This window comes from Homo sapiens, chromosome 11, assembly GCF_000001405.40.
Source record: "Homo sapiens chromosome 11, GRCh38.p14 Primary Assembly".
Classification (NCBI taxonomy): Eukaryota; Metazoa; Chordata; class Mammalia; order Primates; family Hominidae; genus Homo; species Homo sapiens.
Genome location: NC_000011.10, coordinates 122,275,295 through 122,297,657, shown reverse-complemented (window position 1 = coordinate 122,297,657; position 22,363 = coordinate 122,275,295). Strand labels below are relative to the sequence as shown.

Sequence of the window (22,363 nt, the reverse complement as noted above, 5' to 3'; positions counted from 1 at the left end):
CACCTCCCGGGTTCACGCCATTCTCCTGCCTCAGCCTCCCGAGTAGCTGGGACTACAGGCGCCCGCTACCACGCCCAGCTAATTTTTTGTATTTTTAGTAGAGACGGGGTTTCACCGTGTTAGCCAGGATGGTCTCGATCTCCTGACCTCGTGATCCGCCCGCCTCGGCCTCCCAAAGTGCTGGGATTACAGGCGGACAGATTCTTATTGAATGGCTTAGTGCAATCCCTTTGATGATGAGTGAGTTCATGCTCAGTTAGTTAACATGAGATCTGGGTGTTTAAAAGAAACTGAGACCTCTCCCTCCTCTCTTTGAGTCCCATTCTAGCCATGTGATGTGCCTGTACCCCCTCCACCTTCTGACATGATTGGAAACTTCCTGAGGTCTTTACCAGAAGCAAATGCCAATGCCATGCTTCTTGTACAGCCTGCGGAACCATGAGACAAATAAATCTCTTTTCTTTATAAATTACCCAGCCTCAGGTATTTCTTTATGGCAGTACAAATGGACTAATATAGGCATGGAAGAAATTGAAGAAAACAAGGGCAAGAGAGTGGCCTGGGGCAGAATGTGAAAGCCAACCTGAAGAAAGGCAATGAGAAGCCTTTATTGATTAACTGGAAGTTTTGAAAAGTTACTCAGGCAGGACAGGCAGGAAGGATTGGAAGGAGAAAGATTAAGACAGTGATTCTCAACAGGAATGGGAAATCTGTGAGAATAATCTGTAAAGCTTTTGCAAAATACGCAAGCCTGGTTTTTCCTCCACCGTTCTGTCTTCTCCTTCAACCACACTTCTGATGCGATATGGGGTTACAGGAAGGTAAGCATTTTGAAAAATGCTTGCTAGATGATACTGATAAATCCTTCCCTCTACCATTGCTTTAATTTAGCCAAGAGGTACTTAAGTAAGGCTGTGACAATGGAGATGATAAAGAATGGATTTGAGAGGCACATGAGTTGGAATTACATAGGATGGATTGGATGAGGGTGTAATGGAGAGGAAACATGACAAACAGGTGTTTAGTTTGAGTGACTGAGATACTATAAACTGAAATGAGCCCAAGAAGAGGAGTAGGGTTTCTGGAAATAATTGTGGATTCTACTTGATACAGGTAGAATTTGAAGTCACTATAGGCAGTTGATAATATAAAGAACTGGAGTTCAAGAGAGCTTAAAACCATAAATACCCAAGTAATTGTGAGGCAATAGAATAGAAGCAATAGACAGTACCATAGAAGTGTTAAACATTGGCAACAGAAAACCAGAGGCAAGGGAGATCTGTATTGTCTGGAGCAGACAGATAAGTCTTCTCGGATAAGTGAAACTTGAGTTGCATCTGAAAGTATTAATAGCTTGTTCAGCTTTGAGAGATTAAAAATGGAGATCATTTGCCAAAAGGTATGGGCGAGAAAGAAAAATGCTGTTTCAAGAGGGCAGGATAGTGATATGAATGACTTCATAATAAAAACTAATATACTTTCATTTATTCTTCACTCCCAGGGGGAGCTATTATTATTCACAATTTATAGATGAAGAAATAGGTTCAGAGAGGTTAAATAAATGGTCTGAGTCATTTCAAGTAGAGCAGTGTCCTTGAATCTGTAACCTTTAACTCCAGACTCTTGTTCTAATCCATAGATTGTATGTGCTTAAAGGCAGGGTTTATTTCTTAATTATTTTAATATCCCTCATGGCTAGTATATAGCCTGAAAATAGACTCTAAGTACATATTTTTGAATTAAACTGAAAATTATCAGTTCTTTTGTGCATCAGTTTAAGTATTTATCATTTACACTTAAGACTAAACATAGAAGTGAAACATTGTAGGACTAGAAATTACTTTAAGATCTTCAAATCCAACTGGCTCACTTTATAGAGGAGGAAATTAAGGCCCAGAGAAAGGAAGAGACTTACCTAAAATCTCACATGCAGTTATCAGCAAATATGGAGCAAAACCTGTGCCTCAACTTCTCAACCAGGACTTTTTTCGCATACCATTCAATCTAAGAGTGAGATTGCAAAGTGTGAGACTGTCCTCCTCCTTCTGAGCTCTCCAAAGTTAGACAGAAACAAAAAACGTAGATAGACATAGGAGGCAATCTGATAGATAAGAACTCTTGGACTGTTTTTTTCAATCAGCAGTCTAATCATTGGATAGAATAAGAGAAGGCTGATATAAGAATCAGGCACAGGAATTCTCGAGCAATTCATCTGAGAAAAGAACAACAACAAAGGTTTGAAGGGAGGTAGTATATTTTTCAATGGATTCTAATGGCATGCTATGGAGTCACCATTGTTTGTCTTGCTATCTTTTAAATATAAAACACAATCTCACCTACCTAAGGCAGATGAGAAGAAATACCATTCCTGGTCCCTGGTCCAGGGCCAACTTACAGAACCCTGAAGGGCACTCATAAGCTGTGCAATTTGGAGAACTCACACTGCTTTGCTCTCCCAGGCTCCTCATCTGTAAATGAGAGGGTTAGATTACATTTATCTAGTTTTGTTTATCACTTCCTCTCTCAACTAAACCCCTGCCCAAAGATAATGAGCCTATTCCTACCAGCGAGTGAGGTGAAGAATTAACTTGAGGCTGTCCATACTGTCATGATGATGGCTCCTAGAATTAACTTGATTCTTTTCTACACCAGCATAGATGCTGGCTCCTAGGGTGGGCAGATTCTGGTCCTGCACCAACCCTGACTGGTGACCTTCTTGTCCATCAACACCATGTGGGTCCAGGTGGCTTCTGTGGTCCCTTCAGCTCAAGCTGCTGGTTGATACTCAGTGAAACACCACTGTTCACAAAAACAAAGTGAGTGTGAAGAACCTGATCTTCTCACCAATTTCCTATTAGTCTGTCCTCCAAGTCTCAACTCAACTCTGTCTTCTCATAATTTACCTCCTCTATACATGCTTGATGAGACCTCAAATTGGCCTCACTCTTTATCTGCTTATCCCATTCTGCCCTCAGGCTCCATCTTTTTTTAATGTCTTTTTTTTCTTTTTAAAATTTTCTTTTTTAAATTTAGCATACCATTAATGAAACAATTTTACATTAAGCTGAAACACTGACATTAATTTTTGGTGTACTGTTTCTATAAATTTAACACATGTATAGATTGATGTAATCATCAACAGTAATAAAATACAGAACATTTCCATAACTCCAAAGAATTCTTTCATGCTATTTCTTTATAGTTATACCTTCTCTTCAGCCCCAATCTCTGGCAATTGCTGATCTGTTGAGAATGTCATCTAAATGGACTCATATTTATCTAACTTTCTTTTTAAGAATGGCTTCCACCACTCAACATAATGCCTTTGAGATTCATCCCTGTTACTGTATGTATTCATAATTTCTTCTTTTTTACCCCTGAGTAGTATTCCATTGTATGGATATACCACACTTGGTTTCTTCATTCACTGATTAAAAGACATCTGGATTGTTCCTAGTTTGGGGCGATTATAAATAGAACTGTTATAAATATTCACATACAGGTATTTAAAAAGTTTTTCTAGGGTGAATACCTAGAAGCGGTTGACCCCTTAGTTTTGATTCCTTCTCACTTTTGAATCTAGGTTTGCCTCACCCCCGGATTAGTGATACTGAACCTACACTGCTGCCTTGCCTCTTCCTCTGATGAGCAGTCCCTGTCTACCAGTTTTGGTTCCATCTCTTCCATCCCACCACTCTCTTATTTCTGGCTAGGAGCTCCAAGCACATCATAAAACCAAAGCCCATTTTAATTTGTCTAAATCTTTTTCAGCTGTAAATTTGCTGTGATTTGGATTATTGCACCAGTATTGTAGTACCCTCTGCTGGCCGATTTGCAAAGATGGCTTTATGCCTGTGCTAGAAGAGAAACTGTAGGTACAATAGAAAAAAGAAAAATAATTAGGGGGAGTGAGGAGGAAGAGCGGTGGCGAACTACCATTGTAGTGACAGCCTGACTGGGACACTCCATGTATTTGGTGCTACACATATAGATAAATGCTGCAATATTTTTGTGGAACCCTACAATATTGTGCTTGTCTTCTCAATTGTAGGCAAAGATGGGCTGTCTGGAAAGCTGGACTCAGCCTGGAGCATGTTCCCCAGATTGCTATTTTGTGAAGGCTTCCGCATACAAATGACTCAGATCCAAACATTCAAAAATGATCTTGGAGGGCCATCTGGTTCTTGCTGGTTCTAAAAGCTTCCTTCAGCCTGGAGTATGGATCCAGTACAAAAGATAGTGAGAGCTGTTCATTGAGGTTTAACATGTTCCACTGACCGAGGCTAGAAGCTGGCTTTAAAAAATAGCCAACACTGATGCTCCAAGGGCCAATTGCTGATGCTTGTCACAGGTCAGTGGAACTCTGATAAATATTTAATTGATGATGATGTGGTTGTATGGAGGTTTACACATACATACACACACACAGAGCAACACAATTTTATATCATTAGAAAACGTGTTAATTTGTTTGGGTGTCTGAAACAGTCTGGGAATTAGGCTGAACCAGCATGTCAGGCAGTGAGAAGCCATGTAATTGTTGTGATGTGTCATTTTTAATTTGTGACGACAATACTGCCAACCTTACCATTTGGATAATGGTGCTGATGGATTTGCCATTTGCACTAGCTGGCTGCTTGCTTTTCTGATCAAGTGGCTGCCTATTCTGTGGCCAAGGGACAGGGAGTGTTTCCTATTTGGGAGGCTCACGAGCTTGAATGAGGATGGGAGACTACAATCTCAGTCTTAGTTTCTGGCTCCAACCAAGTTCAGATGGAGATGGGGCATCTCATGAGGGGGACACTGGGCATCAGAAACTATGGATTTCAGACAGTCACCTCATTGGACAAAATGCATGAAGTGGCATTACTTGACTCACTTTTTCGTTTCTATAGGCTTTGGCTGTCTCGTTGGAAAGTGGTGTGAGGGGAGGTGTGTGTGCTTTCTTTAGCTTATGCAGATGAAACCAAAATATATCCTATATAATGACATTGTCATTCCTTCTTTATGCTTTGTCATACTCTAGGATGTAAGATTATCAAATACAGGGATTGTATCTTGTTTATGCATACCCCTAACCTCTCACAGTATCCAGCAAAGAGAAGACATAAAAGGAGAGCTTGTTAAATGCTCTGAGTAAAGTTGTGGCTTTTTAAAGGCACTGATAGATTGGATGACATCTATGAATGTTGGGGTCATGGGAAATTATTTTACCTGCATCTTAGATAATTGATTTTTCTTGTATTCACTCTCAGTGAAGATCCCGGTGTTACACATCCAATCGTTCACCTCCTTCCAAGACTATGACATTCCAGGAAACCTTCACTGCTAAGAGGAACTAAGATCTAGAGTATCTCCTCGAGGAAGTACAACTGGTAAGTCCTTACCAGCGAGTTTAACGTTTGTTTCTAAAATGTACCAAATAACAACAAAGATCCCCCAAGCCTGGCAAACAGTACCCATGCCCCTGCCACATACCATGAAGCACAGCCTCTCAATGGTCAATGGCAAAAACTAATGTTTGTCTGTCCTAATGTGTATATTCTATAGAGATGGAAATGGCATTTAAAATGATTTTTATTAATGGAAAAATTTAGCACTATTGGTTTTATAACGTTCTAGTGAGCTTTATGGTCTCCAAAAAAGACTAGATAGGGCTCTGCAGTTTACCAGCTTTTTTCAACAAAGCTTCTTCTCTTTTACTCTCAGTATATCATATTATACTTTCAATAGAATCTGAAGATTTCTTTTTGAGTGGATTTCTATAGGGGTTCCACCTAATATAGTCCCTGGAGACCTATGCTGGCATCTGGTGAGTTTACTAATAATGGTGAGTGTAGTACTTGTATATTTTTAAAATTTCGGTAAAAAAATTCATAAAAATTACCATCTTAACCATTTTTAACTGTATGTACAGTAGTTGTAAACTAATTCACACTGTTGTGCTAGCATCACCACTATCCATCCACAGAACTCTTTTCATTTTGCAAAACTGAAATTCTGTATCTATTAAAAATGTTTATCCATTACTCCCTCACCTCAGCTCCTGGAAACCACCATTCTATTTTCTATCTCTATGAATTTGAACTCTAGATACTTCATATAAGTGGTTTCATACAATATTTGTTGTTTTGTGATTGGCTTATATCACCTAGCATATGTCCTTTAGGTTCATCCATGTTATAGCATGTGTCCGAACTTCCTTCTTGTTTAAGGTTTAATAATATTCCATTGTATGTATATGCCACATTTTATTTATCCATTCATCCATCCATGGACACTTGGTTTGCTTCCATCTTTTGGCTATTAAGAATAATACTGCTACAGATCTCTCTTTGAGTCCCTGCTTTCGATTCCTTTGGGTACAAACTCAGAATTGGAATTGAGAGATCAAATGGTAACTATGTTTTCAATTTTTTGAAGTACCACTACACTAGTTTCCATAGCAGTGGCACCATTTTACATTCCAGTAAGGATTTTAATTTTTCCGTATCCTCATCAATACTTATTAGTTTCTGTGTTTTTTTTTTTTAATGGTAGCCATCCTAATAGGGGTAAAGTGATATCTCATCATGGTTTTGATTTGCACTTCTTTAATAATTAGTTATGCTGTTTTTTTTCTGTGCTTACTGGTTACTTGTATATCTTTGGAGAAATGTCTATTCAAGTCTACTCATTTTTGAATCAGGTTGTCTGGTTTTTTTGTTGTTGAGTTTTGGTAGTGTTTTATATATTCTGGATCCTTTATCAGATCTATGATTGGCAAATGTTCTCTTCCATCCGGTGAGTTGTCTTTTCACTCTGTTAATTTCGTCCTTTAGTCCACAAAAGCTTTTAACTTTGATGTAGTTTAATTTATCTACTTTTTCTTTTATTGCATGTGCTATTGGTGTTATATCCAAGAAATCATTGAAAAAATCCAGTGTCATGAAATTTTTCTCCTATGTTTTCTTCTAAGAGTTTTATAGTTTTAGGTCTTACATTTAGGTCATTGATCTATTTTGTGTAGTAGCTGTTTTACCCCACCCTAGACTGTGAATTTCTTGAGCAGAGAGACGATGGCTTTTCATCATTGTATTCTAAGCACTTAGCATCTACCTGGCACGTAGTAAGTGCTCAGTTAATTTTAGTTGTGTGAAACAATTTCATCAGATATAATGAAAATAAACCAAAGATTATATTTTCAGTGATTTGCTAGCTTAATAATAATTAATTATAGCAGTTTCAAAAATTTTAAGTGCTTTGACAATCCACAAAGAAAGCTCTAAATTAAAAAGGCAATGCTGCTTTCAAATCTTTGAAGGACTTTTTGGCATTTTATTTATTTACTTTTTCCTGAGGATGTTTAATGAAATATTTGGATATTTGTCATAATAATTGTGCTCTTTTGGACTTAAGTGCCTTTATCATGGGCTCTGTGCACAGTTAGCTCTGTGGGGAAAATAAAGATTGCCCAAGAAGATTGTTTCTTTTGTCCACACATGGGTCCCTGAAACTCTGGGGAAAGCATGAGGTGAAGAGCTGGCCATGTTTGTTTCTTGTCTTTGGGTGAGTTATTCCACATCTCTGAGTCTCCCTTAATTTCTTCATTTAGAAAGCAAGAGGGGAAAATTAGAACCTGTACATGATTCCTTCTAGTTCTAAAATTATGAAAGTTTAGCTGTTGGTGACAAGACAATTCTAACAGGAGTAGAAATTCAACTATTTCTGGGAACAAACAAAGACAAGGTTTACCACAATCTGATCTCTCACAGAGAAACTTCCTACCACAAAAATAATTGGGATAGTTTGGGGGAAGGCTGTGGATCAGTCCTCAGAGTTATATTCCTGCTTTTGCCATAAGTGCTCGTGAAGAAGGGGGCTTTGAAAATAAAATAAAATAAAGTTACTATTATTGTTGTTGTTGTTGTTGTTGTTATTGAATCAGGGACAGCTCTACATTTTCAGCCTCTCCAGAGTGAATTGTCTTATATATATATGTGGCACAACCAGTTTAAAAGATAAAAGAGCTCTTGGTGACATTACTAGTTAAAAGTATTGAGGCTGGGCGTGGTGGTTCACGCCTGTAATCCCAGCATTTTGAGAGGATGAGGTGGGTGACTTGAGGTCAGGAGTTTGAGGTCAGCCTGGCCAACATGGCCAAATCTCGTCTATGCTAAAAATACAAAAAAATTAGCTGGGCGTGGTGGTGTGTGCCTGTAATCCCACTACTCGGGAGGCTGAAGCAGGAGAATCGCTTGAGCCTGGGAGGCAGAGGTTGCAGTGAGCTGAGATCGCACCACCGCACTCCATTCTTGGTGACAGAGTGAGACCCTGTCTCAAAACAAAAAACAACAACAAAAAAAATGAGTACCACACCCTACCAGTCCCACCTATACTCCATATGCCCCACATGTTTTGTGAGCCAGTTTCAACCATGTTTGAGAGACAATTACAACTACCATCTCCCTGATGGACACCTCTGCAAGAAGTGGCCTGTGGTATACTGGTATCTGATTCTGAGGTCTCTCTTCTACTATGGCCATTATTAGATCATTCTGAGACTGAGTATTAGGCTGTCTTTATGGTGCCAATTAAACAGCAAGTTCTAGCAAGGGCATCAGGGAGATCTGTGTTCTAACCTCTGCTCTTTCTGTCTATGTGAAGTTTGGGCAAGTACTTATCCTGCTGAGAATGGGTTTCTACAGGTCCAAAATAGTAAGGATTTTATCTTTTGTTTTATATGAGGGAGATATATATAAATATATACCTATAATATATATATAAAATATATATCTATAATATAAAATATATCTATATATAGATATATATAAAATATAGATCTATAATATAAAATATATAATTGATATCTGACATATGACATATATGATATATAATTGATACCTGTGACTTCTGATATCAATGATATTAATTGATATGTATCAATTATTATCATATAATATATATCTCTTATATATCATATAATTATATATCATATTGTATATATATAACTTTCAATCTGTTTCATCATTGAATGTAATAGTAACACTGATATATATCAATTATATATCATATAATATATATCAATTATATAATATACATTGTAGATATATAAAATATGTAATCCATCATTTTATGTAATATATAGTAGATATATAATATCTATCTGTATAGCTAATATATATATGATTGGATTGCTGAAAGAAAGGGAAAAATAGAAGGTGCTAATTTTTCTTTAGCGTCTTCTATGTGCTGGTTACTATGCCAGGTGTTTACATAAGTTATCCTATTAATGCTTAAACTGCTCTGTGAAGGAGCCATTGCTGGGCTCATCTTAGGGTGGGATGATTGATGCTCAGAGAGGTTAAGTGACTGCTTTAAAATAACACAGCAGATACATAGAAGAATCAGAATTTCAATGCATATTTGATCGGCTGGATCTAACACCACTGATCTTTCTTGGACATCCATATACTTTGACACAGCACAAAGCTGACATATTCTACACCCATGGGGACCTACGTCCCCCTCCTCTCACTGCTGAAATTGCTAATTTGCTTTCTTCTTTTGGAGTTTCTGAGAAAGAGAGCTCTCAACCTTTGAGTCTTCTGGTTTTTACCTTTGCTGAAGAACAAATATCACCTATTTTCCCCAGAAGTTGTTTTCTAGAGAAAAAAGCAGCTTTTGGTCTAATATGGGTGGCAGACAATTGCTCCAAAGACAAAGATTCAAACATAAGTGAAGCTTCATCTGTGATCTTGCCTTGAAGTCATTTTTCTCCCCCTTTTCCTTTTTTAAATTTACTCTCTAAAAACTTATTCTCTTTGGGGCCCTGGTGAGTATGATAGTGTCCCGATTCCCAGTCTGGGGCCCTAGATTCACAAAAGGCCAAGTTGACGTTCATTCTGCATCTGGCTTATTTGATGCCAGAGGAGCACCGAGGTCTCCTGAGAGAACCAGGAGAGATTTGCCTCCTGCAGAGGTTTGGATAAGCCCCAGCTAATCTCCGTGGCTTCTGAAGGGCACACCTGCTTGTCTGCCAGCCAGCAGCCTCCTCGCTCATTTCCCGTGGGATGGCTGGGGTCAGAGGGCCTCCAGAAAGCCTTTTATCTTCCCCCGCCCTACCAGGCCCCCCTCAGCAGCACCTGGGTCCACACTTAAGACTTCCTTTGAGGAGAGGTCGAGGCGATGTCCCTCCCAGAATGGGGGCCGGTGCCTTTTTCCTTCCTTTTGAGGCGGCTCGCTTGTTTCTTCCTTCTAAATCAGAGTTTGATTCAAACTTTATCATGCATGGCTCAAACTTCATCCCGTGGGGGCTAAGGTGATCTGAATTAGTTTCTGGGCTGCTGAGCTAGGGACACGTAGTAGGTGTTCAGTAAATAAAGATGATGTCTGATTATGATCTGCTTGAGAGTTCAGGAAAGATACACTGTCAACTTTCAATCTGTTTCATCACTGGACTAGAATACTAACACTGATAATATTAAAATGTCAGAAAATTGAAAAGTCACTTTTGTTTAGCTGTGGGAGGCAGGGGTTCTCCCTCCCTCTTTTCCTAAATCACATCTTCCTTCTAAATTATCTCTAGAAGTGGTTAGTAGTGAATTGTAATTATTAATAGTAATAATACTAGTTCTACTAGTATTTAGTAGTATTGATACTAAACTAGTGGTAATACTAATATTATTACTGCTAGTTATCTTTACTAATAAAGAGAATTAATAGTAAATCAGAGTTTGATTCAAACTTTATCATGCCTGCAACGAACAGTAGTAAAGTAATCATCTGGCCTTACAATATCTTTACTAATGAAGATAATTAGTAGTAATTATCCTTAGAAGTGATTGGTTTGTTTTCTGTGAGCATTCTGGTTAATATGGGTCAGAGACTGCTATTTAGCATAGGAAGCTTCTAAGGATTATCTTCTTTCTCTGTTTCTCTCTCTTTCTCTCTTTCTTTCTTTCTCTCTCTCATTTTCTGTACATAAAAATAGAGAAAGAATATTTTTGAAAAGGTTACTACTAATGATAATTTGTATAAGAATGTGGCTAAAAAATCAAATTAGGAAAACTATAATCTTCTCTTCCCTTGAACTCATCAGTTGTTGTACAGGTTTATCATCCCACTCTCTCCTAAATCCACTAATATTTGTTGAGCTTTTAGTCTAAGTCCCTGGGCTGAGTAAAATGCAATGATTCTAGCCCCATGGAAACTTCATTTTAGCTGGTAAGATAGGCCATCAGGGTTATGTAATAATTAATTGCTTGTGGATTGATGCAGTGATGATGAATTTGAGTGTTAAAGAACGAAGAAGGATGAGTAAAGAGACATCAGTTGCTCTGATTATGAATCAGGCACAAAATCAGAAGCTCATATATATTTCATTTATCTTTCCTAAAACCATGCAAGATAGACAGTATTATTCCCATTTTATAGATGAGGAAATGGGGGCTCAAAGACATTGAGTAATCTGGCAGACTCATTGCAGAGCTAAGACTATAATCCAGATGACACAACTAATACTTGAAACTCAAGGTGTAATTTGAACCTGGCACTGGATCCAAACAACCCTTGAATTCCATTCTGTTCAATCTATATGCAAACATGGCTGTAATTGAGGCAGAGAACTCTGTGTAGGCAGTCACTCTTGATATTAATACTGCAAAGTGATTTTTCAAAAAGGAGAACGAATGTAAAAATAATTTGCTAGCTAATTGCTAACTTTCCCTTTCAGTCTGGATTGTTTATGTATCAGGGTATGTGGTGACTTTAAACTATGGGTTTTAATTCTTTTAGCTGGAGTGCTCTACCTCTCCCTCTGCCTGCAGCATCCCCAGTAGCATGTTCCCGCTCCCCTGAATGCTTTGGCATTGTCTCTCCTCTGATAACGTATGTACAAATGGAGACTGCGTACCACCCTTTTCCCCAGCGAAGCACACAAACAGTAAGCAGACAGACACTATCTAGGAGGCTGCAACTCAGGACCATAATATTGTGGCAGAAAGTAGAAAATAAAACAGCCAGTGCTGGGTGCAGGATAATAGCATAATAAGATAAGTGCGAGAGAGTCAGGAGGCGGTAATGGCCCTGGAGATGGAGAAATTCTGGGAAAGTAGGGCAGTATAAAAGCGGAGACACCATCTGTGGGATCCAGGCAGTTGTGAGTGACTCCGAATGACACAATATGGAGATCTGTTCTACAACACAACAAATAGTAGTAAAGTAATCATCTGGGCCTACAATTGTCAGACATTCTTTGTTTGAAATGCCACCTTCCCAGCCATGAATACCAGTGTAGCCATGGTTATAAATGGCAAGGCTATAAATGGCCTCTTCCTCCAACCAATTCAATTTGCAGAAAGTGAGAATAAGAAACAATTTCCTCCCTAGATGGACTCTCCACTGGACTACAGTGTGCACTGCACATGCCCTCAAGCCAACTTATCCAAGTATAATAAACAGATGCATAGTTTAATAAATCTCTGTCCTCCTTCCCCCTAGCCTTCTTAGCCTCTAGTAACCTCTGTTCTACTCTGCTTCTGTGAGAGCAACTTCTTTAGTTTCCACACAAGAATGAGAACATGTGGTGTTTAACTTTCTGTTCCTGGCTTATTTAACTTAACATATTGTTCTCCAGGCTCTCATCCATGTTGCCGCAAATGACAGGATTTTATTCTTTTTTTATGGCTGAATAGTATTCCATTGGGCACATATACTACATTTGCTTTATCTGTTCATTTGTTGTTGGACACTTGGGTTGATTCCATATCTTGGCCATTGTGAATAGTGATGCAGTGAACATCAAGGTGTTGACACCTCTTTGACATATCAATTTCCTTTTCTTTGGATAAATACCCAGTACTGTGCCAGGCATGGTGGCTCATGCCTGTAATCCCCACACATTGGGAGGCTGAGGCGGGCGAATCACTTGAGGTCAGGAGTTCGAGACCAGCCTGGCCAACATGGTGAAACTCTGTCTCTACTAAAAATACAAAAATTAGCTGGGTGTGGTGGCAGGTACCTGTAGTCTCAGCTACTTGGGAGGTTGAGGCAGGAGAATTACTTGAACCTGGGAGGCGGAGGTTGCAGTGAGCCGAGACCACGCCACTGCGCTCTAGCCGTGCAACAGAGTGAAACTCCATCTAAAAAACAAACAAACAAACAAACAAACAAAAAAACCCAGTAGTGGGATTGCTGGATACACTTTTTAAGAAACTGCCATACTGTTCTTCATAGTGGCTGTACCAACCAGATGAGAGAGATAACTTCTAGTGCTTTAGCACACTGTAAGATGACTGTAGTTAACAATAATATGTATTTTCAAATAGCTAGAAGAGAGGATAGTGAACTTCCCAATACATAGAAATGACAAACATTTGAGGTGATGGATATGCTAATTCATCTGACCTGATCACTACACATGACATGTATCAAAATATCATGATGGAACCCCCCAAAATGTAAAAATATTTTGAAAATCTCAAAAATTTAAAAATAAAATTTAAAAAAATCTACATTAATAAAAAGCTATATCAGAAGGGATTGGGCAAGAAACTAAGCTTTACTGAAGGTGTCTATGTGCCAGGCAGAATGCTTGACATTTTGTATATATCATCTCATTTGGCCCTCATAACAACACTCTAAGGTTGATGGCATCATTTAGATTATAAAGATGAAGAGAAAGAGGCTCAGAGACATAAAATAACTTGCTCCACTTTACCCAGTGGTGGATCCAGCATTCTCATTTGGGACTGGGTGACTTTCAGATCAAGCTCTTTCCTCTACATGCATGGTTCTCAGAGGTTGAAGACGCATTATATCTCCTCCTCTCACATTCTTTGCCAATTATTCATTATCCAATAGAGGGGTTTTTTTTTTTGACATGAGATGCTTATCTTTAAGTCTCCAGAAATCTGGAATCAGCTAACCCAAACTTTCAAGTAATTAAAATGATTTTTCTATATTCCAACTTTAGTTGAAAGAGATAAAGAGAGATAAACCCATTAGCTTAAGAGTTTAGACAAAGCATTAACTTCAAGAATATACATTTATTTCAGTACACTTTTTCAGCTTAATCTTCTATACCAAGCTTGTGTAACCCATGACCCGTGGGGCACATGTGACCCAGGATGGCTTTGAAAGTGGCCCAACACAAATTTGTAAACTTTCTTAAAACATTATGAGATATTTTGCGATTAAAAAAAAAATCTCATCAGCTATCGCTAGCGTTAGTGTGTTTTATGTGTGGCCTTAGACAATTCTTCTTCTTCCAGTGTGTCCCGGGGAAGTCAAAAGATTGGGCACCTCTGATCTATACCTCCTACTCTATTGATCTATGACTGTTGAAATTTAGAATGATAACCCAAAGAGGTGTGACAAGGACCTAAATCATTAAAGAGGACCAAGGAAGAGAGTAGAGGAAAGAGTACTGACTGGAAAGTCCCAAGAATGTGGACTTGAATTCCTATGCAGCTACATAGATTGCTGCTCCAGGCAAATTGATCACTCTAACTCCAGTTCCATCAGCTGGAAGGTGGGCATGTAGTATCTCAAAAGACAGTTGTGAGAAGTCGGTGAGATAATGTGTGTATAAATCACCTAGCATAAGAAATGTATTGTACCTGCTCAATAAATCTTACTTTCCTTCATAAAGCAGAAAAATAATTTTCAACCACAAGTAAAACAAAGTGGTTGTTGGTCATTTAGAGTTTTTCCTTTTTTACCGCTAGGGTAGCATCAGTGAAGTGAGTCAAGAGACTTGGGAATACTGAGGCCGTTTTGCCTACAGAAAAGGCAAAAGTGCACTCCCAATATGGAATTTATTTCTTGGCAAGCAGTTCTCTGTCTCCTATACTACTCTTGCTTCTATCAGTGAAGGTTCTCACCATTATATGTCATATATTGACAACAACAACAAAAACACAGAAGATTAATGACCAACAGTAGAAATCACCAGTTTATTGCTTTAATTCAACAGCATAATTTTCTCTGAACAGATTTAGCCAACGGAAGCAAATGGTATAGTACTAGGCTTAAATCTCTATGCTGACTGCATTTCCCTACAATCCATTGTTTTATGGCTCTACCCTATAACCAGACAGCACAATCACCTTTAGAGACACTTTTCTCCTTATTTCATCAGGGGCTATGAATCCAGATAGGTCACATGCACACTAATGACCTCTACCTGTTGAAGACCACGACAACAGGAAATGCTTTGAGAAAGATATTTAATTGTATTTACAAATGAACCTTGAGAGAGGTAACATTGGGGTTAAGAGCACTATCTCGCTTTATAGTGAAGCAGACCTTGGTCCTGGATCTACCATTTATAATCTTATGATACTGGGAAAGTGATTTAATTTCTCTGAGCCTCATCTTTCTCTTTCTGTTTCTTTCTTTCTTTCTTTCTTTCTTTCTTTCTCTCTCTCTCTCTCTCTCTCTTTCTTTCTTTCTTTCTTTCTTTCTTTCTTTCTTTCTTTCTTTCTTTCTTTCTTTCTTTCTTTCTTTCTTTCTCTCTCTCTCTCTCTCTCTTTCTTTCCTTCTTTCTTTCTTTCTTTTTTTTTTTTTTCCAAAACAGAATCTTACTCTGTCACCCAGGCTGGGGTGCAGTGGCGCAGTCTCGGCTCACTGCAAGTTCCGCCTCCCGGGTTCACGCCATTCTCCTGCCTCAGCCTCCCGAGTGGCTGGGACTACAGGCGCCCGCCACTGCGCCTGGCTGATTTTTTTGTATTTTTAGTAGAGACAGGGTATCACCGTGTTAGCCAGGATGGTCTCGATCTCCTGACCTCGTGATCCGCCCACCTCGGCCTCCCAAAGTGCTGGGATTACAGGCGTGAGCCACCGCGCCCGGCCTCTTTTTTTTTTTTTTTTGGAGACCGAGTCTCAATTTGTTGTCCAGGCTGGAGTGCAGTGGCCTAATGTCGGCTCATTGCAACCTCTGCCTCCTGGGTTCAAGGGATTCTCGTGCCTCAGCCTCCCAAGTAGCTGGGACTACAGGCATAAGCCACCACATATGCCTAATTTTTTGTATTTTTAGTAGATACGGGTTTCACCATGTTGGCCAGGCTAGTCTTAATCTCCTGATCTCAGGTGATCCACCTGCCTCGGCCTCCCAAAGTGCTGGGATTACAGGCGTGAGCCACTGAGCCCAGCCTGCATTTCTTATTAGTAAAATGCATGGTTTATGTTATAAGCACTTAACAAATATAAGTCATTAAATACAATTAGCTTTCTGTTTATCCTTCTGTTGACTTCACTAAGCTACCTTATGACCTCTTGAAACTGAGGTATAGTTTATCCCCAGTGATTCTAAAAATAGTTTACAACCTCAGTGATTTCTCCTTGAATTGGCCAGACGGACACAGGTATTTGGGGCTTCTCAGTTGAAGACAACACAATCCTGTGATATCACCCCCGGCTCCTGCTATTTCTTTCCCTATCTCTCTTGCTTATTCCCCTCTCCTATGGAGGGGGTGTCACTAGGCTAATGTCAAATGGCAGATGTGGGACTTTCATCAGGAGCCCTGAGCACAGAGACCATTTTATCTATTTGCAATGATTTGTTTCTTACTGCAGCACTACTCTTTAGCATTATTGATCCCCTCTGCCTTTGACCCTGGTTTGTAGCAGGAGCAGTCAAGGGGGTGGGGGCGCTGGAGACTGTCTGGCGTTGTACCGAATTTAATTCCTCTTTACGTTTGCATATGCCTTCCTGTTCTACATTAAAATGCTTCATACTATTGCAGTGGAGTTGAGGGTCTGCATCTTTTGTGTCATGCTTCTCAATATAGTAATGACTTCTCCCAGGGTCAGAATCTGTTCCCTGCGTGGCTCCTGCTATCCCAGTTAGGGAAGGGGCTCTCAAAGCTTGGGTTTCCTCTCCAGGAAGTTGGGTCAATACAGTTTCTGAATGAAGCAAGGAGGGGGCTGGAGAAGAAATTATTTAATCAGCACATGTAAATAGAAATGACATAATGAGATGGGGAGAAAAGGGGGACTCTAGGCTAAAAGTGGAGATGTCATGTTTCTTCTCCCCTCCGCCCCCCACAAGAGTTGAAGGTTTTCTTGAATTACCTTCTAGGGCTTCAGTGAGAAAGGAAATCTGAAAATAAGCAATTTTTTTTCTTATTTTATTTTACTCATTCAAAGAACAGTTAGGAATATTAGTCACCCCAAATCATCCTTACTTGCCAAACTACTCTAGCTGACCACATGCTTATTCTGGATCCTGCATGATAATCCAAGTCACCTGTCTTTTTTGTTGTCTCAAGACACGTGTCAGTGCCTCTAGACACTTTGAAGCCTAGGGTCACTTAGAAAGGAGAATAATATCTCTGGGGGAAGGTAGGATAGCACCACTTGAATCGTTTAATTTTCTGTAAGGTAATGATGATCATTTGAATGAGTTGCAAATATATGGCGGAAAAATAGGCTTCCGGTCCACAGAGAAGGGATCAATAAAGACCCTGTCTGTGTGGTAAAGTAAATCAGAGAGTTGGAGTAATTGTTTTAAAAATTTGCTCCCAAACCTCTCATGAATAGATACATAAATGGATATGAGAGACAGTCATGCATCATACATAGTCATGCTTTACTTAACAATGAAGATATATTCTGAGGACTGCATCATGAAGTGATTTCATTGTTGTGTGATCAGCATAGAGTGTGCTTACACAACTTTAGTTGGTATAACCTACTACACACCTGAGCTATTTTGTATAGCCTATTGTTCCTAGGCCACAAACCTGTACAGCATGTTACTGTACTGAACACTGTAAACAACTGCAAAACAAGTATTTGTGCATCTAAACATATCTAAATATGGAAAAGGTGATGTGTTATGCTATGACGTTACGATGGCTATGACATCACTAGGAGATAGGAATTTATCAGCTCCATTAAAACCTTATGGGACCACCATTGTATATGTGGTATGTTGTTGACCAAAATGTTGTTATGCAGTAGATATCTGTGTGTGTGTGTGTGTGTGTGTGTGTGTGTGTGTGTGTGTGTGTGTATTTTTTCCCCTCAGGCAGGTGGGGATAGGGTGGTTAGAATGATGATCTTTATTCTAAAATTAATTTCATTACAGAACTAGCAATAAACTAGCAATATTGTCAAAATTGTCAACTAATCAGTGTCTTAAATTATAATAAATAGAAGGTGAAAGACAAATAGTTGACTATCACACCATAGCCCTTAGTCTAGTTTTCTGTATGATACAATCATTTTATTTTTTTGCTGGCATGGCTAGCACCAAGCATCTTAGTCCATCACATACACTCTATTGCTTTAACTTGTTGCTATGGCAACCTCAACATTCTCCCACAGTAAAAAAAAAAAAAATTAAATTTGTATCTATGAATTTGTAAAAAACAACTATAAGATTAAATAAAACCCCAGTCACATTAGTCTGTTTCATATAGCATTCTGGGAAGATTTCCATAATAACAATTATTGCATATAATTTCATGAGCTGCAATCCATAAATAATCTTTCTTGGGAAAGTATGAAATATTCAGGCTCTTCCATGGGCAAATGGGCAAGTACCTTATTCAGTTATTCACCATCTCTTGAACACCTATATATGCCACTGTATTAAATTCATGTATTAAATAAAGTATACTTCAGTAAAAAAAAGAAGACCCAAAAATATATAAAGATTTTTAAAGATAGAAGCCTATTTTCTCCTCTTGTAATTGTCCAATACATTGTTTCTGGTCAGTAGTAGCTGATACAGTGATTCAGGAGTCCAAGTTCTTTCCATCACACGGGTCAGCCAGCTCCTTGCTGTTTATCAACCTCTGCATCCACTTACCTGACAGCAGGCCAAAGACCGTGGCGTGTTATAAAAATATGGCTGGGCATGGTGGCTCACGCCTATAATCCCAGCACTTTGGGAGACCATGGTGGGTGGATCACTTGAGGTCAGGAGTTCGAGACCAGCCTGGCCAACATGGTGAAACCCTGTCTCTACTAAAAATACAAAAAATTGGCCGGGTGTGGTGGCAAGTGCTCAGCTACTCAGGAGGCTGAGGCGAGAGAATCACTTGAACCTGGGAGGCGGAGGTTGCAGTGAGCCGAGATCATGCCACTGCTCTCCAGCCTGGGCGACAAGAGCGAGACTCTGTCTCAAAAAAAAAAAAAAAGAAAATTATTCCCAGCACTTTGGGAGGCCGAGGTGGGTGGATCATGAGGTTAGGAGATCGAGACCATCCTGGCTAACACAATGAAACCCCGTCTCTACTAAAAATACAAAAAAAATTAGCTGGGCATGGTGGCAGTCACCTGTAGTCCCAGCTACTTGGGAGGCTGAGCCAGGAGAATGGTGTGAACCCAGGAGGTGGAACTTGCAGTGAGCCGACATCGCACCACTGCACTCCAGCCTGGGTGACAGACCAAGACTCCATCTCAAAAAAAAAAAGTTACATATATGGAGGCTTTTATAACACATCATATAAATATATATAAATATAACACATCATATATATACATATGTATACATGTATATATATGAAATATAACACATAATATATATGTATATATACGTGTATATATATATGATGTGTTATAAAAGCCTCCAAGTGAAATACCTCACATCTGTTCATTTTCCATTGGCTAATTATTATCCCATGGCCACATCTGGATGGAAATTGAGCTGGAAAATGTAGTCCCTGGCTTGGTAGCAGCTTCCCAGCAGCAACTCAGTGCTAGGGGAGAATTCTGAATTTAATAGATAGCTGGCTAGCTCTGTCACCATGCAGGTAGGTAGAAAGATGAGTAAGACATGCTTGTAACCATGAAGGGTTCACAGTTTTGGGGGGAGAAAGTCATGTAAACATGTACGTGCTATAGTAAAAGGCTGAGCTGAGTGCCCTGGGGAGCAGCTACCTCTACTTGGCAGGGTTGGGACTGCTGGTGGCACTGCCTTTAAAGGCAGCTGTACCTTGAACTGATAAGGAGAACTACCGTAAAGTAATTTTAAAATAATGGACTGGCTTAAAAGCACGTGTGTAGGAGTGGGAGACTACAGGAGGTGGAAATGAAGAGGAATAATTAGATAATGTAGTTGTCCCTGCTGGTTCTTAAGTGATAAGCCTATATTTCTCCCTCGCTCTTCACTTGCCTTATCAAGAGTGGGTGACCTTGATGAGACTTTTTCAACACTGTATCTTTGGTTCCTTTTAATCTCCTGTCAGTTGCTATCACTGTCAGCATGACCTACCTCCAGTGAAAAATTCAGCTTTCCTTTAAGCCTTACCAGGAATGCTAAATTATGAGGAAATGTCAGGATGGGAGGATGCTATAAACACTAAGGACATATTACTGGAGGCGGGGGTCATGGAAGGACACTGAGGTCTCTTCCCTCAACACTACAAGGACTCAGAAGTCTGTATTTTTGCCTTCTGGATCTTTTTACAGTTGGAGTTGATATACTTTGTCAGTTGAGCACTGTCTGTCTCCAGTGCTGACTATTGTTATATTCTAACCCAGTGAATTGTGAATCGAGATTTCCATGCCTGGAGGAGGAATAACCAATTACCAGTGCACCAAAACACACCAAGACCCAGGATATAATCTTTTTGGCAGGTGGGGCAATTGGCGGATTTGTAGTTGTAATGTTCTTTGAGGTCCACTCATGAAACAAATATTCAAGTGAAACGGTAGCCATAAAATATGCTTTGAAACGTTACAATTACTACAATCCAAATGAAAGAAGGTACAGAGTAATTATTATCAATATCTCAAATGGAGAATTTTGGTAGTGATATTTGCAGTGGGTCAAGAGTGTTGCACTTCAACAAATCCCTCTTACCTAAGGGAAAACCAAAGTTAGACTTGTGTTAAGCATTTTCAGTAATTCTATGGGACACTATCAATCATAGTGAGCATGGTAAGAAATTGATATTGATAAAAGAAAAAGACATTACCCTCAAGTATTTGGAGTTTAGTTTGGGAGACAGAACCAAGAAACATAAAGTAATTGACAAAGCATGGATGTAAATGCAGCGTCCACAAGCAGAAGAAATTGAAGCAGTTAGATTATTAGATTAAAAAAACCCTTATCTATGAGTTATTGTATATACTTATGCATTTTGCCATGGAAGAGATTAGTTTTTTCTCTCTTTGAATGCTTTTTAAGAAAAAAGAAGAGAATTTCATACATTTGCTTGGTTTTCAGATCTTGGCTTTTAAATTCTGGTTGTGGCTTGGCTTCTCTTGTACTCTAAAACAGCTCATTAGTCACTTGAGAGCCTTGAGCCTTAGTTTCTATAAATCTATAAATGGACAGTTGAAGTGATGACTTATATCCTACTTTTTTCTACAAGTGTTAGATTCTAAGTGTATGCAGCGAGTGTTTGTACTTTTCATTATGGTTGCCTTTTATATCCTGCATTTGATTGATTGCATGATGGAAGCTTTAATCATGATATGGCCCCTCTTCTCCTCTCCCCCCTTCTCCTAAGCTACTGGTCTTGCTTTCCCCTACTCTTTCTTCCCTAGACTTTAATCTTTCCAAATTCAGTACTTGAATTTTTTTTTGAAGGAATTGAGATACTGAGGAGAGAGATTTGAAGACCTAGACCTCAAAAAAGGCAAGATCTTTCTAACTCTTCTAATTTGTGTCTGTTACATTGAGGACATACTGGTTTATTCTTCCGAATGAGGCTTTCTTTTATTTATGTTTTTATTGATGGAATAGTGACCTACAATTTCTAAAGTATGTTGGGCTCCAAAATTATTTACCTTGACTTTACCCAAAAAAAGTCACAAGCTAAGATTCCGCTAAAGACAGACATTTCTGAGTGATGAACTAGGGCCAAAGAAAGTTAATCAAGGCACATAGAGTCGGGTCCTTTGGGCCCAAGCAGCATAGAGGATCCCTGGAGATGTTTTGATCAGTGAGGGCAGGACTGACTATTGTTTTAGCAATTTCTCCCACGTAATGAACAAGTGGCCTCTCTGGCAGGGATGGAACGTTCCAATGAAGGCTACATCACAGAATAATCTTGCCATTTTCACACAAGGTCATTCAATCATACTTCACAGTTATAAGTGATCTAACTTTCCAGCAATTGAAAGGCTTCTATATATGGAATCCTTGAGTAAAGTCAATTCAGGCTCTGTGTGGGCCCTTAAGTTATATCAATAATAAGAAATGCTGTCATTTTGTTTCTCTTCCAACTAATTTTAAGTTTCAAAAGAGCTCTGAGTGGCTAATATTAATATCAACTAGCTAATGTAGATACTAACCAGAGTTTTGATTATAGCTGTAGCAAACTTTCTACATTTAATGTTGATGCATAACTGCAGGCTCTGGTGATAAGAAAGCAGCCTGCAGTTTCAGAAAGTAAAAGCTCCTTTAGGATAATGTATATAGC

The 22,363-nt window shown here is 39.1% G+C and overlaps 1 long non-coding RNA gene across 4 annotated transcripts in view; it reads left to right on the top strand.

Moving 5' to 3' along the window:
- Positions 1-22,363, top strand: part of MIR100HG (mir-100-let-7a-2-mir-125b-1 cluster host gene) — a 394,543-nt gene that overhangs the window by 125,214 nt on the left and 246,966 nt on the right. For all 4 annotated transcript variants that reach the window (NR_137179.1, NR_137192.1, NR_137193.1 and 1 more), the window contains exon 2: positions 5,255-5,374. This is a non-coding gene — a long non-coding RNA (mir-100-let-7a-2-mir-125b-1 cluster host gene). The remainder of the gene's footprint in view (positions 1-5,254; positions 5,375-22,363) is intronic.